Source organism: Homo sapiens, chromosome 4, assembly GCF_000001405.40.
Source record: "Homo sapiens chromosome 4, GRCh38.p14 Primary Assembly".
NCBI classification, from domain to species: domain Eukaryota; kingdom Metazoa; phylum Chordata; class Mammalia; order Primates; family Hominidae; genus Homo; species Homo sapiens.
In genome coordinates, this window is record NC_000004.12 from 118720138 (window position 1) to 118736001 (window position 15864).

Genomic DNA, 15864 nt, shown 5'->3' on the forward strand with positions numbered 1-15864 from the left:
TGTTCTAATCTAGCCTTTAGCCTTACTGATTTAGAGAAACTGCTCTTCACCAAAGTCACCCATGACCTTTTACTAATCCCAACAAACATTTTTGTCTTTGTCTTTTGGAAGCCTGTAACTTGGCTGCCCACTCTCTTCATGCACCCCCTCTTTTACCTTGAGGTTTGTGACATCTTCTAGCCAAGTTCCCTTCTTACCTCTCTGGCCCTTCCCAGTTTCAAGGTTTCTAGTGACTCTCTGCCCTAGGGATTTGCTTCCTTCCCACTCTACAGAGTCAGCCTAAGTTTTTTCAGCCACTTGTGTGGCTTCCTTTTCTTGATATATATGTAGATGGCTTGCAGATCTTTAGCTTACAGCTCTCTGCTGAGCTTCACACCCATATTTTTAGGTCTTATAGTTTATCTCACTTGGATAGCTTGCAAGCTACCTTAGATATGTACAATCTGAACTATACCCTTTACATACACACTGACATACACAAGCTGTTTTTATTTCTGTTTCCTCTCAGAGAATCATCTGTCTACCCAGTTGCTCAAAACAAATCGTTTTCTGACACTTTCTCTTCCCTTACATCACCTCTCCCCCAATTCCCCCACCCCCAACAACTAAATACCATTATTTTAATTCAGGCCATCGTGAACTCAAATGTACTATTCTGATAGCCTCCTAAATGGTCTGTCTGCTGCAAGTTACATCACCTTACAACCCCAAAGTGATCTTTCTAGAGTGATCCTGCTGCTCCTGCTTAAATTACTTTGAAGGTCTTCACTTTGTCATTAGGATAAAGTCCAAACTCTTCCTTGGCTAAGCCTCACTCTACTTGCTTCTCCAACTTTATCTTTTACGACTTTGTCTCTCCTTGATAGTTCCAGTCAAGTTTAAGTTCTTTAGTTTACTGAAAGGGTGATGTGTGCCCTCTCCACTCTGAGCCTTCATGCTTATTTTCTCTTCTGCTGGCATATTTACCAATACTGCCAAGTACCTGGCAAATGTTTACAATTTTTCAGGTCTCATCTTCAATGTAACTTCCTCTGGAAAATCTTTACTGACTACACCTTGCCCCCCCAGCTAGACCAGGTCAGATATCCCTGCTGTGTGCTTACTGTAGCATTTCATGGCATTTCTGAAACTTTCCTGTAATTGTAGAGATGGCAGGGACTTTGCTTGTACTGTTCACTGTTGTCTCTCCAGTATAGCGCCTAGTGTTTGGCACCTAGAAAATGTGCAGTCAGTATTTGTTAAATGAGAAGATACTACTTCCAATGGCATATTCTTTGAGCACCTAATTATTTAGAAGTTTCTTGTGTTAAGTGGAACTTTGTAACTTCTTTTTTTTTGGAGTCTAGCTCTGTCTTCCAGGCTGGAGTGCAATGGTGCGATCTCAGCTCACTGCAACCTCTGCCTCCCGGGTTCAAGCAATTCTCCTGCCTCAGCCTCCCAAGTAGCTGGGATTACAGGTGCCTGCCATCACGCCCAGCTAATTTTTTGTATTTTCAGTAGAGACGGGGTTTCACCATGTTGGCCAGGCTGGTCTCAAACTCCTGACCTCAAGTGATCCACCCGCCTCGGCCACCCAAAGTGCTGGTATTACAGGCGTGAGCCACCGCACCCAGCCTGTCACTTCTATTTAATGATTCTGGTTCTATACCCTAAGGAACACAAAGAACAAATCATTAGACAGCCTTCAAATGAATAAAGGAATGTGCTCTGTGCTTCTATTTCACATAGGGCATGGTGCCTAGAATTGAACAAGCGCCTAGGTGTGGCCTGACCTCAGAGTAGAGTGGAACCATCACTATGCTCATTTGACAGCCTATCCTAGTAATAAGGTAGATTGACATCATATCTGCTTTCATTCCACTAGTGATTCATAATGGCAAACTCCCTAAGTTCTTTTTCTAACATGTGTTGTTTCCAAGAATGATCTCCTGCATATGCATTTGTTTTTTGGACACAAGTCTAGGAGCTTACATTTCTTCTTGTTAAACTCATCCAAGTTGATGATGTTAAACTCATCCAAGTTGATGATGTTAAACTCATCCAAGTTGATGTTGAAGCAACATGCCAGTTGGCTAACATGGGGGGGATTTTAGTTCTGTCACTGTATTTGTTTTTCTACCTACTTCATGACATCTAATTTATAAATAAATCTTACTAGCCATATAATCAGAGACAAGGAACTTAAGCCTGTTTCTTCATGTGTAAATGGGGCTGATAACAGGATCAGGGTTGCTGTGAAGAATACATGTGCATATGTTCCCAGAAAACATAGTGCAGTTCTTGGGACACGATATGTACTCAATATATGTTAGCTATTATTATTCATATAATTGATAACAAAGTTGAATAGGGCAGGTAGAGGCAGATGCCTTTGTGACATCACTCAAAATCATTCTTCTAGGTTTAGACATATTCATTAATAATGGTTTCATGTCGCCCATTTCTATTTATTTTGCCCACAAAAACATTTTAGAGAACTTTGAAATGCCTTTCTCAAGTATAATATGATGTTTCTTAGATTTATTGCCTAGTACTCCTCAACCCTCAAAAAAAAAGAGAAAATTTTGTTTTCCTGATTTGTTCTTAGTGAGCTACCCAAACAACTTTTTGCCAAGACTTTTTGAATACTACCCTTATTTCTTTTTAAGACCTAAAAATACATAATAAATAAATAAATCTACCTACTAAGATTATACGAAGTGATTTATTGATACTGGTTAACATCCATTATATACAGGTAGAAACTTTCAAAATTGTACAAAGAACCATTAAGCATATTGATAAAGACAGTTTTACAGACAAAACAACTGGAAAATAGTTTTAACATACACAATATATAATTATGAAAAAAATGTAGAACACATATTGTTCTACCAGATAAATCCCAAGGTTATTAAAAGTCTGCTATGCAGACCTTAAGTTGAAAAATGTGTTCAATGGAGTTACATGGTTTTAGAAAATTAAGTATAATGTAAAAATTAAGCTTTTTTTTCTCATTGCAATTGGGAGAGGAACTGAGACAACTTTTTACCCCAAATCTATACAGTTTGAAAAATAATTTATATGTCTAGCATAAAGAAAATTGAGAATGTTTATGGTTCTGTAAACTTTGCCTTTTATGAAATGCAAACCACATCAGTTTTAAAAATTAGAAACTGTGCAATCAGAAACAGATTGTTCCCTTTATGGTACAATTGTACCTTAATTGGCTTTATACCTGAGCACCAAAGCTGAAGTTCTAAATGCCATCTCTTCCTGGAAAGTTATTCTGAAAATGAGCAAGAAATCAAAACTAGCCTATTATCATCTAGAAAATTAGGCACCAAGAAGGAGATTATCTCCTTGGAAATGCAACATCAATGACAGAGAAGTTTCAATTAATTAAGCAGCTGACAGATCTCCTTGTGAACACAACAAAGGAAATCCACATAAGAAGAGCCTCCGTAAAGTCCTTTGTCTTCTACCAGGAACTGTCGGAAAACCATTTCTGGTTGTTCTCGCTGCTTTACAATTGTGAGCTAGGAAAAAAAAAACAAAACAGTAACAGCCCCTGGTTATAAACATTATTTGAAAATGGGTCAATTTTGTCTATTTCAATTTTGGCAAACATTATTGAATGCCCATTATGTGTGAGGCTATGGAGGATGATGGGAAAGTGCCTGATATCTAGAGTGGAAAGAGGCATGGACCCCGAAACCCCAAAACCTAAGACATACAATTTTAAGTGGCAAAAATGAAACCTAAGCAGAGTGTTACGGGAAAGGCTTCACAGTGATAGTAACTGTCCCCTGAGCCTTAAAGGATAGGGGTAGGGCTAGAAAGTGTTCCATACTGGAATACATGTGCCATGTACCAGAGATACAATTATGGCTGGCATGTAAATTATCACAGGCTTCTTCTAAAAGGGACAAATTATCATCATAATGAGTTTGGGTTTCTGTAGGAAATGTGATCCAGTGAAGGTGCAGAAGAATGAAATGAGAGAGTTAAGTGGCAGCAGTATGTACAATACATTCGTGAGATGAGGGACACTAGATAGGAAGTGGTTTGAAGTGTCTGGGTGGGAGATGATCAGGTTCTGAATTAGAGCAGTGGAGGTGGAAAGGGGGTAGATTGGAGAGATGCTAGAGAGGTTAACACACAGGGAAAACAGGGAGAACTCCTGTCCTTTGCTCATCATGATTCTCTAGACCTGTGCTGTCCAGTACAACAGCCAGACACACATACTATTGAGCATTTAAAATGTGGCTCATCCAAATTGAGATGTGCTGTAAATATAAGATTTCTATATTTTCTATATAAGATTCTAGAAAAAAATAGATTTCTAGACTTAGTATGAAAAATAAAATATAAAAATATCTCAATAATTGATACAGATTACATATAGAAATTATATTTTAGATATACTGGGTTAAATTAATTATTTAAATGAATTTTTTCTTTTTAAATGCAGTCATCAGAAAACACAGAATTGCATATTCATTTGCATTACTGGAGAGTGCTGCTCTAAGAAGAAACCCACAGGGAAGAAGCCCAGAAGAGAGGCAGTTTTGTCATGAACACTTTGAACCCTTCTTTCTACACCTGTATTCCTACTTGAGGAAGTCAAGGTAGATGATCTGAATTGTCATAATTTCATATTTATTGCGCCACAAGTGGGGTTAACTGAGCCACACATGCACAACAATGCCTCTCCACCTGCCTCCTGTGTAATTAAGAGGAGCGAGGGTATTTCTCACTTCTTCCTCTCAGGAGGTAAACCCACCAGAAAGGCCTGCAATAGGGAAACACATGCAGTTAGCTGCTTCACCAGCTGCAGCAGGGAAGGTATGTGCAATTTTGGCTAGGAGGGCAGGGCCCTCCCTACTTTTGCATTCTATGCTTTTTAGTTATCAAGCAGAGAGTAACTCTGTCAACACCACTTGCTTTTTTCCTTTATAACGTTTCGGCCTGGATCCAAGTCTGTTAGGTTTTAAGTTGCCCCGACCTAGTAAAAATAATAATATATAAGAACAACTGCTGTTGCCACAACTCAGCTAATTCCATGTGGATACAGATATGTGTGATGCCTTGGCTTTTGGGTGTCAGCTCTAGGTACTGGGAGTTGGCACTGGAATAGCTGTGTGCATAGGCAGATTCCACTCCTACATGGGGAAGCAAAACTAACCCTTAATGAGATTTCTCCAAAGAAGTTTAAGATTTGCCTCCTGATGAACCTGAAGTCAGGATTCTTTTCATTTTATGTTTTATCCACCCTCTCCCACATGCCACTACAACTTTACTATTGTCCATGATTGGTAGGGGCAGTGTGGGTCTAGCCTCTGACACAATTCAGACTGAGGCTGGGCAGGATAAGACATTGAAGGAGGAAAGACTTGAAGTTCCAATTTCTTTAGAATTTACTTTCTTTATGGAAATTAATGGAAAGAAGGTCAGATTGCTCATCTGAGGTATTTTCTATTGCTGCCATTCACTTGGGTTTTTTTTTTTGTTTTTGTGTGGTGCTCATTGTACAACCTCCTCTGACAAAAGTGTCTCGCTATGAGCTGAGGTGGTAAGTAGAACAGGGAATGAATGTCAGCCTTGGGAGAAACTTAGCTTTAAGCTACAGTGATTAATATCCTATCCTACCATTTGATTATCTACAGGTGTCAGGATGACACAGAAAGTATAGTGGAAGGTCTCAGGGGAGTGGAGTCATGGAAGTGGTATTGGCCTGTCTTGACACAGTGATGGTCGTCTCTTCAAGGGGCACACCCACACCAATAAAAGGAAAGCATACTGGTATGGATTGGTAGATCCATCTTTATTTCCCCGCTTTACATTTCTAAAGGGAGGGGGATGGCCCTATAGAGTAGGAAGAGAACATTAAAATAATCACTGCTTGTCACCTCCTTGCTTCTTGTGTGCCTTCTCCAAGGGAAGACTGGCTAACTCTGAATGTGACATTCTCTGGGTCACCTTACCAGAGGTCTTAAAGAATTAATGTGCTTCAAAAGCCAATCTCATCTTTCATTGGCTGACTCACAGGGAATCGCTAAAGCATGGGAGTGATTAGGAAGGCCCAGGTAGAACATGTTGAGCGAGAAGAGAGCCATGATACAACCCTCGGGGAATACCAACTCTTAAGTGGCAGATGAATGAAGAGAAGCCTATGAAAAAGAGTCACTGAGAAAGAAGAATCAGGAGCAGGGGATGTTTTGAAAGCTGACAGGAGAGAATTTGAGGAAGTAGTCAACCTTGTAAATGCATAAAAGGATTGAGAATCAATTGTCTTTAGCAATTTGGCAGTTTACAGAGAAGTGGAGAGATGAGAAGAAGGAAAGAGCAGTTAATATAGACTTTTTCAAGGAGCTTGGTTGTAGAATGTTTGGTATATTGCCGGTGTTCAATAAATATTTGTAGAATGAATGAGGAAAGGGAAGCAGAATCTTGGAGAAGTGGCAGCTTCTATGAAGGTAGATTTGAACAGCTTGTAAACTGGAAAAGGGCCAATGGGAAAGGAATAATCTAGAAAATACAAGTGGAAGGAGAGAGAATAAAAAACATTTGGAGCACAGAGAACTGTGCAGGGCAGGACTAGAATTTCTCAGGAAGGCACTTGGTTTCGGTCATCTGTAGATATACTGTGGTAGAAATCTTTTTTTGTTGTTGTTCCCCACAGAGAATAATCTGACAATAAGGTCTAAGAGGACTGTTTTTGAAAAAGTAATTAGCATAACCTGGAAGGTAGCAGTTCCTTCTAGATTTGATTTTGTTACTCTTGATCCTTCCATACCAACTCTTTTCTCCTACCTAATCTTAACCCTTTAAAAGTATGTTTTCATTTCCTTTGTTTAGTCAGTTTTCAAGTGTCAGAGAAAGGGTGGAATGCTAAGTGCACTGGGACTAAGCAGCTAGTACAAGCCCTGTATCTGCTATGATCCAGTTGTGAGACCCGGACCAAGCTAGTGAGCTCCTTTGAGCCTCACTTTCATGTCTGTGATGTGCAGCTACAGGAAGCCAGGTATCTCCCAGATTCCTTTCAACTCTGACATCTGTAGATTTTAGATATTTCTAATTCTTTATAGAGATAGCACTCTATGAACAGATGGATACATTTGCAGATAGTACATAAGAAAATCTGATTCTTTAAGTATTCAAGCTAAAATTGTTTTATCACACAGGTGCTTAATATTTTATTCACATATAATATTTGAAGCTCACCCCCAGATGGTTTTATAACCAAAGCTGACATAACTTTGATAAGTGGTTGGAACAGGTGGGAGAAAGCAGAGGAAAGTTTAATGTTTTTCCCTGAAGGAGGAACTACTGAGCACAAGGATGATCTCCATGCTTAGTCTTGCCTCTTTTCTGCAAATGCCCAGTTGGAGGGATGCAGTTGCTGCAGCTGGGATGAAGGTGAATCATTATTGCTGTGCATTCTAAATACCAGTGGCTTTCAGTTTGCATTTCCTGAGACTCAAGATTTGGTTACATGTTTCTAGGGCATTCAGAGAGAATGCCCTAGAAAAACGTGTAACCAAATCTTAAGAGAATGTGTTTAGTTTGAGCCTTGTCTGTCATCTCTAGGTCCTGCCCTTAAACTGAACCATAGGTGCTGTGTGGTGTGAAAACTGTTCTAGAAAAGTTGTGTATTCATCCAGATGTCATTAGTTCAATTTACCTAAGCTCTACCTAAAGTTGATGTTTGCATGCATGAGTTACTTTCACAGTTACGAATGTTGGTTCAGATTGACATCACATTTACATTTCAGGAGACAACTGGCCCCATAAATACCCTGGCACTTGTAGACACGTGCCTCCAGCTGAGTGTCTTATAGCTCTTCAGTAAGCAGTGTTACACAGCACATCATCATCATCTATACATTCTAGATCCCAGGAGACTCTAATATTGAGCTTGGGAAGGAAAACAAGTAAGTATCTGGAACGTGGCAACAACATATAATTTTCTTGGGTTCTAGACATATTAAAATTTTTTACTCAAACTCAGAAAAGGCTAGAAGGGCTTGGAAGGACAAGAATAACAAAACTTTTCAGAGATTATAAATTAAACATTGTAATAAATCAAATTTTACAAATGTTCTAAATGATACTTTTATAATTAAGTAATTTTAGGCACCAGAAGAAAAGTCACTTCAAAGTCTGTTAATGGTACCAATTGCTATTAAATCATGAAGTTAATACTGACTTAAGATACCCCATAGTTAACCCATGGTAATAGCCATTTATGTTTGTGACTGGTAAGTAGGTAGATATACTTAGAGGTTAATGTGAGGTTTTTTTAACTTTTATTTTAGATTTGTGATGGTGTGAGTTTTTAAAATCAAAGATCACGTCATAAAAATATAGGGTGTGCATGTTAAGTCTTTAATGAAATTTTTAACATTTGAATAAAGGGAAAAATAAAATTGCTTTCTTACCTTCATTGAATATGGCCTCTTTTGTTGGATAATACCCATTATCATTCTGAGTTGTTGAGAGTATGGGTTTCCCACTTCAGGCAGCAATGTCTTAGATTTAAGAAAATCAAAGTTTTAGTACAGTTTATAACATTTAGATAGAAGTAGCAATATGAGATTATCATAATGTTAAAAACATAAAACCATGTACTTGAACATTGGTGTAGTTCATTACCTGAAAACCAAAACTGTGGGGAAAATGCACTAAAAATTATTGGCACCCATTCCCATAATTGACAGAAGACAATTATTTCTGTCTTTTGGAAAAAACTCTTCCTCTGGAATTTGACACATGTACATCACTGAAATGATACAGCACAGACGTAGTCAGCCCTCTGTATCCATGGGTTCTGCATCCATGGATTCAGCCAACCACAGACAAAAATATTATTTGTAAAAAATGCATCTGTACTGAAAAGGCATGGATTTTGGGTTTTTTTTGTCATTATTCTGTAAACAATATAGTTTAACAACTATTTACATAGCATTTTATATTGTATTAGGTGTTATAAGTAATCTTTTTTTTTTTTTGATAGAGAGAGGGTCTCACTATGTTGCCCAGGCTGGTCTTGAACGCCTGCACTCAAGCAATCCTCCCGCTTCAGCCTCCCAAAGTGCTGGGATTATAGGTGTGAGCCACCGTGCCCAGCTGGTGTTATAAGTAATCTAGAGATGATTTAAAATATATGGGGGTATATGTACAAGTTATATGCAAATACCATGCCATTTTATATGAGGGACTTCAGCATCTGTTAATTTATAGAGTATTCTGGAACCAATTCCCCATGGATACCAAGAGACAATAGTATATGTTTTATGCAAACAACTTCCTGTGAAAGTTTGATCCCTTTTCAAGATTCAAGGCTATGTTGCGAGAGAAAAGAATGTACTTTGTTCCTTCAGTGGATGGAAAATTCCATCCAAGTACTACTGTTCCGGCATTAAAACAAACTACCAAATGTTGATTTCTCAAAGGGAATGCAGCGTCTTAGATAGCCCAGAAATCTGGTTAGTGGTCTACAGGCCAATCCAGCTGCACGTGGCATCCAGGTGATATGAAGGATTTTGACTTACATTTCTTCCGTTAAGACAGAGTAAAATGCTAATGTTTGCTTCTCAGCAAGAAGATGCCAACAGCCAATGCATCACTGTGAGTTGGCCAGAGAACATGTGAGTTAGAATGTTTCACCATAAACCTCAAGTGTCAGGAAAAGTTTATGGTCAATGTTTTTCACAGGAGTAAGGAAAGCAAAAAATTCATTATTTACATTCACACTCCCATCCCCTATATGCATTATGTGGCATATTATGGTAGATCTATTTATTCAACAAACAACGTAAGTATTCTTCATGTATGTGTTTTAAAGTGCCAGCTGCCTCTAAAAAGAAAGTAGCTTACATTTGGTTTTTAACTTTGTTTCATTTTGTTGATGAAAGTCAAGGAAATACCAGTATGCTGATATAAGCACAGACCTACCAATCTGCTGCCTTGTGGTAGAGACACTGGCTATTTCCTGTGGATGTTCAGTTCAGCAACTATGCATTCAGCATTTACTATGTCAATATATTACAAGAGGAAGCTTCCTTAACTTTTATATAAACATTCTTCAGACTCATAGTTCTTTGCCTACTGAATTTTATTTTTTTAAATTGCATTTATAATCATTTCTTAATTTCAAACATATGCAGATATCAATTTCTAAATCTTCATCTTAAAACCAATCTCTAACTGGAATATTGATGCCCCTGAATTCTCTTAAAAATACACTTTTGACATTCCTCATGAATATGCAGCTCTCTAAACTGATCACCTGTCATGGCCTTGAATTTTAATCTTGCCTCTTTCTGCAAGATGCTATATATATTGATAAACTGTACTTCATACAATTGGGTTCAACAACTAGACTTAAGCCATCTTGCCACAATGTAAGTGAGCCTTCAGGAAACTAACTATCTGCTGAGCTCTACTGGAATCCACTATCAGAGTCAAACAATAGCCATCGGCAGTGATGCTCACACAACAATGGTCTACAAATAACGTTTGCAATAAATGTTGACTCTTGTACAAATTATAAGCTGGGTTTTCCTAAGATACTTTAAAATAGTCATTTGTATTAATTTAACATCAAACTCACAATTTCTTTTGTTGTTATTGCAACAGAGGGGTGTATAGTCTCTTTTTATGGAATTATTATTTGTTAACTCAGTAATCTGATTTAGTCTGTAGCCAAACACTTATGAAAGATTTCTACATTCTTCTGAGTATGCAGTTCAGCACCAGGGATGAGTCCAGAGCATAAGAACTGAATTCAGTTCCCATCTCTGCCACTTTACTACCTGAAGGAACTTGTCTCCAAGCCTCAACTGATTCCTCTGTAAAATGTTGAGACCATATCCATCTCACTGATTTGTTATGACAATTAACTGAAATGGTATATTTAAGTATTTAGAGTACAGAGACTGGCACATAGTTAATGATCTGGAAGTGTTAGCATTTTCTATTAAAGTCACATATTTTAGTTGTTTGAAAGTACTCTATACAAATAACTTTATACCAGCTAATTGATATTGATCAAAACATGAAATTATTTCTTTCATATACAGAAATATATGCCTTATTATTTTTCTTTCTGTAATATTTGACTGCACATAAATAAAAACATTTACGAATTTATATTTTTCATATTACCACAAAAGCAATGAAAATAATACTTACCATATCTGTGTTGATATGTGCAAAAGATGGCACATTAAATATTCCTTGGATCAGTTCTGGTGGGCTGCTTACTCCCAACCACAGGAACATGTGTAGACCATTAGCCAGTAAGAATATTCCTTCTTCTGAAAGACGGGACTCAGAGCAACGAACGGCAGCAGGTAACATTGTACTCTTGACATCTAACGTGTGCTGGGCAGGCACAGACAAAAGAGTTAGAAACTCCTTTCTTCCCCTTCCCTTCCCTCCTTCCTCTTTTCCTTTCCTTTTTCCTCCCTCCCCTCCCTCAATGCATAGTGAGTACCTATTATGTGCCAGACTTTATTCCAGTCATTAGAAAATAATCCCTACCTTGCACAGCAAATGGTTTTGTGCAGGGAGGAAGAGACAACACATAAAATAAGTAAAATATACAGAATATAGATGGTGTGAAGAGTTATGAAGAAAAGATGCACAAAAGTGGGATGGGGTGTGTCGCTGATAAAGGTGCGGACAAATTTTAACTAGGGTAGTCCAGGGAGCCCACAAACTTTTAAGAAGGTAACCTGAGGAGGTAAGAGAAGGTGCCATCGGGACAACTGGAGAAGACCATTTCAGATGGAAGGAAAAGCTAGTGCACTGGTCCTAAAGCAAGGGCCCAAATGGAGTGTTTGAGGATCAGCATGAAGCCCAGTGTGGCTGAAGTGGGATGGGGAAAGGGAGAGTAACAGAAGATTTCTAGAAGGGAGGGGAGGGCGGGGCACACAGCACTGGGCCAGGGTGGTAGGAACTGAGATGGGAAATCCTGGAGTGTTTTGAGCAAAGAAGTAATACGAGCTGACAATTTTATTTTATTTTATTTTTTGAGACGGAGTCTTGCTCTGTCACCCAGGCTGGAGGCACTATCTCGGCTCACTGCAACCTCCACCTCCCTGGTTCAAGCAATTCCCCTGCCTCAGCCCCCCACGAGTAGCTGGGATTACAGGCACATACCACCACGCCCGGCTAATTTTTTTGTATTTTTTAGTAGAGATGGGGTTTCACCATGTTGGCCAGACTGGTCTCAAACTCCTGACCTCAGGCAATCTGCCCGCCTTGGCCTCCCAAAGTGCTGGGATTACAGACGTGAGCCACGGCACCTGGCCAGAGCTGACAATTATTTTAACAGGATGCCCTAACTTCTGTGCTGAAAACAGACTGAAAGAGACGCAGAACTCCTCAGATTCCCTCCCCTCACCATAGTGAACACATACTGATGCACATAAGCAACTTGCAGAAAGAGCCCCTGCTCGAAATCCCACACCATATATTTTGAAGGCATTTGTGACTTTAACTTTCCTCTTAAGAACAACATATTTCAGATATAACATACGGGAAAGCACAAAATATGATTCCCTTCCAGCCTCCTCTGGGAAATGCACCACCCCAGCATGCTTACTATGGGCAGAAGTTGTGGGTAGAAGAAAAGCTGAGAGTCAGCCACACCCATGGTCATGACCAGCTGTCTCTGGTATGCTCGTTCATCAGTTGAGATCTCTGGTCTGCTGAGTAGTACACAGTTTTTCAACAAGCAATTCATGTACACTGGCAATACTTTCATGGAATCTGGTAGAATAAGCTGAAAAAGACAATTTTTTGTTTCATACGCTTGATCTTTACTGAGAACAATTCCCTGAGCTTCATCTGTAAGACTGAAACATTATTTGCTTCTGAACTTGTAAGGATGTAAGGATTAACTGGTAACCCATGTAAAACACCTAGAGCACACAGTAACTGGCACAGAGTAGGCATTCAAAGAGCAGCAGTTGTTTTTATTTTATCTAGTGCTACAGCAGTCTGGTGTAGCTGTTATCAGCACTACCCACTCACTGCTTAGGATGCAATCCCAGCTCTGTCTTTTAGCAGGTGTGTGACCCTGGGCAAATTACTTACCCTGTCTTTTTCTCAGTGTTTTTTTTTTTTAGCTGAATATGGAATAATAGTATATCTACTTCATAATTGGGTTATGATAATTAAATGATTTGTAAAGCACAATAGTGCCTAGCACATAGGATATACCATATATATATGTTTAGATATATACATAGTTTAATAAAATTTTTTAAAAATGATTTCATAACCTATATTTCCACTTCAAGAATAGCATTTCTAACTGCCAACAGGATATCTCTTCCGTTATGCTTTTCATGCATCTTAAACTCATCAAAAAAATATTAAATGCCATTGTGTCATAGGTTCTGTGCAAAGTGTCAAGGATATAAAAAGGAATAAGGCATAGTCCATGTTGTAAGATGCTTGAAGTTCGCTGGGGATAGACATATAAATACATAAAACATAATAAAGAGATTGCAGTACTATAGATTAAAAAAGGAAATGCTTCATGCATTTAGATGTGTCATTAATGAATGATAACATGCAAAATCAAACTCCTACAATTCCACAAACACGTTCTTCCTCCCATGTTTCCTATTCAGTGTAGAACTTCCAGATGAACCCTAATTCATTTATTTCTTTACCCTCAATTAATAAACAAATCCTTTTAATTCTACCTTCATAATCTACCTGTACCTTCTCTCCACCCTCACTTTGGCTCACATGACCTCATTCTAACTGCCCCAAAGTACATGCCCTTGTGAGATACTACAACCTAACACAATGCAGCAATTCTAGGAACACAACCTGATGATTTAAGAAATTATAGTGTCCTATATTGTTTAACTTTCTCCTAAATCAATATTGTTAGAATAGCTAATAATCAAGTTTGACTGATCTGAATGTCACTTCCTTCCACTTAATAGCACAAGTCAGTGAACAAGGACATATCCAAAAGAAAAATTATACATACGAGATAATAACTTGCAAACAGATAAATGAAATATCTGATCTATAAATTAATGGTTTCTTTTTAGCTTTCTCTCTTTTTTATTTTTATTTTTTGAGATGGAGTCTCACTCTGTTGCCCAGGCTGGAGTGCAGCGGCGCAATCTCGGGTCACTGCAACCTTGCCTCCTGGGTTCAAGTGATTCTCCTGCCTCAGCCTCCTGAGTACCTGGGATTACAGGCATGTACCACCACACCCGGCTAACTTTTGTTTTTTTAGTAGAGATGGGGTTTCGCCATGTTGGCCAGGCTGGTCTCAAACTCCTGACCTCAAGCAATCCGCCCACCTCAGCCTCCCAAACTGCTGGGATCACAGGCGTGAGCCACCATGCCTGGCTTAGTTTTCTGTCTTGATGATGAAAATGGATATAGAGTTATCAGAATCCACACTGAAAAGAAAATGTCCCTGAGGGTCTGTTAGAATTTATTCTGCATCTTAAATTCATATCGTAAGTCTCTTCTCATGATGTACTAAGTAAGGAATGTGGGGAACAGAACTTTCTAACCGTCTCAGGCAAACGTATTTCAGAATGATTCTACTTTGCAGTTTGTTTCCCCCGTCAACTTCTAATCTCCTTTCAAAGAACCAAGGACAGTTAAATATATGTTTATTCATAAGAGTAGAACACTCTCTTCTAATTTTTTCTCTAGCATAATATATCTTCATTTAACAACATTTGGTACTGGATTACTTTCTCAGCCAAGGAAAACTATGATAAAAAGATGCAGGAACCAGATAGATCGCCCCGATGCTATTTCTGGTCTAGTTACTAGTTAGCCATTTTACATGTTATCAAGATCAAGGATCAAGAATGTTCTTAGATTCCTGTATAAAGCATGTCCATTTGGTTTGAAAATATCAGATTGAAATTTCACTGGTTGCTTCTAATTAATGAGGTCATATTAAGAGTTCAGAAATCTGTGATCCTAAATACCACAAAGGGGTGAGGTTGGCCCACAATGACACTATTGGGACTAAAAAGTCTAATCAGAGGAGATTGGATTATAGAAGGCAGAGGGAAGAAAAACAGGTGGTAAATGAGAAGGAAAATCTAATCATGAAAACAAAACCAAAAAAATGGAGTTAAAGAATGAAAGAAAACAAGAAGACAATCTTATTCAATGTTTTTGAGGTGAGGAAGAAAATGTGGCCATGGATTACCACTGTAAAATCTCCCCACCCGACTGACCCCCTCCATAAATAACTAAATTATTCTTTGGGAGTAAAGAATGAGAGTGAGGTGGGAGCAGTAATTCATATAAGTCGAGCTTGCTTGAATTTGGAAAATTCTTTCCTTCTTTAGGTTTTAAAGTGACAGAAGTGGTAATGAGGTTTTTTTTGTTTTTCTTTTTTAAAAAGAAAGCTTATTTTGCAGTTAAGGTCATTTGACTTGCCTTTTGAAATGAATGCACTCCCATATGATATTGATATATTTAAGCTCAGAACAGTGAGATATTAGATTTAATTAAAAGAATCTACATTGCTTATGTAAGCCTTATAAGCCTTAAAGTTTGCTTTTTTTTTTTTTTTTTTAAAGATACAGGGTCTCACTTTGTCATCCAGGCTAGAGTATGGTGGCACAATCATAGCTCGCTGCATCCTCAAGCTCCTGGGTTCCAGGGATCCTCTTGCCTCAGCCTCCTGAGTGGCTGGGACTATAGGCATGTACCACTACACCTGGCTAAGTTTTTATTTTTAGTAGAGGTGGAGGTTTCGATATGTTGCCCAGGCTGGCCTTCAACTGCTGGCCTCAAGCAATCCTCCTGTCTTGGCCTCCCAAAGTGCTAGGATTACAAGTGTGAGCCACTGCACCCAGCCTAATTTAT

The 15864-nt window shown here is 38.5% G+C and overlaps 1 protein-coding gene across 2 annotated transcripts in view; it reads right to left on the minus strand.

Moving 5' to 3' along the window:
• Positions 2686 to 15864, minus strand: part of SEC24D (SEC24 homolog D, COPII component) — a 113304-nt gene continuing 100125 nt past the window's right edge. For both annotated transcript variants that reach the window (NM_014822.4, NM_001318066.2), the window contains exons 20-23: positions 12596 to 12775; positions 11179 to 11370; positions 8424 to 8513; positions 2686 to 3518 (exon numbers count right to left, since the gene is read on the minus strand). In NM_014822.4, the coding sequence (NP_055637.2) occupies positions 3378 to 3518; positions 8424 to 8513; positions 11179 to 11370; positions 12596 to 12775 (603 nt within the window). In that variant the 3' untranslated portion in view covers positions 2686 to 3377. The remainder of the gene's footprint in view (positions 3519 to 8423; positions 8514 to 11178; positions 11371 to 12595; positions 12776 to 15864) is intronic.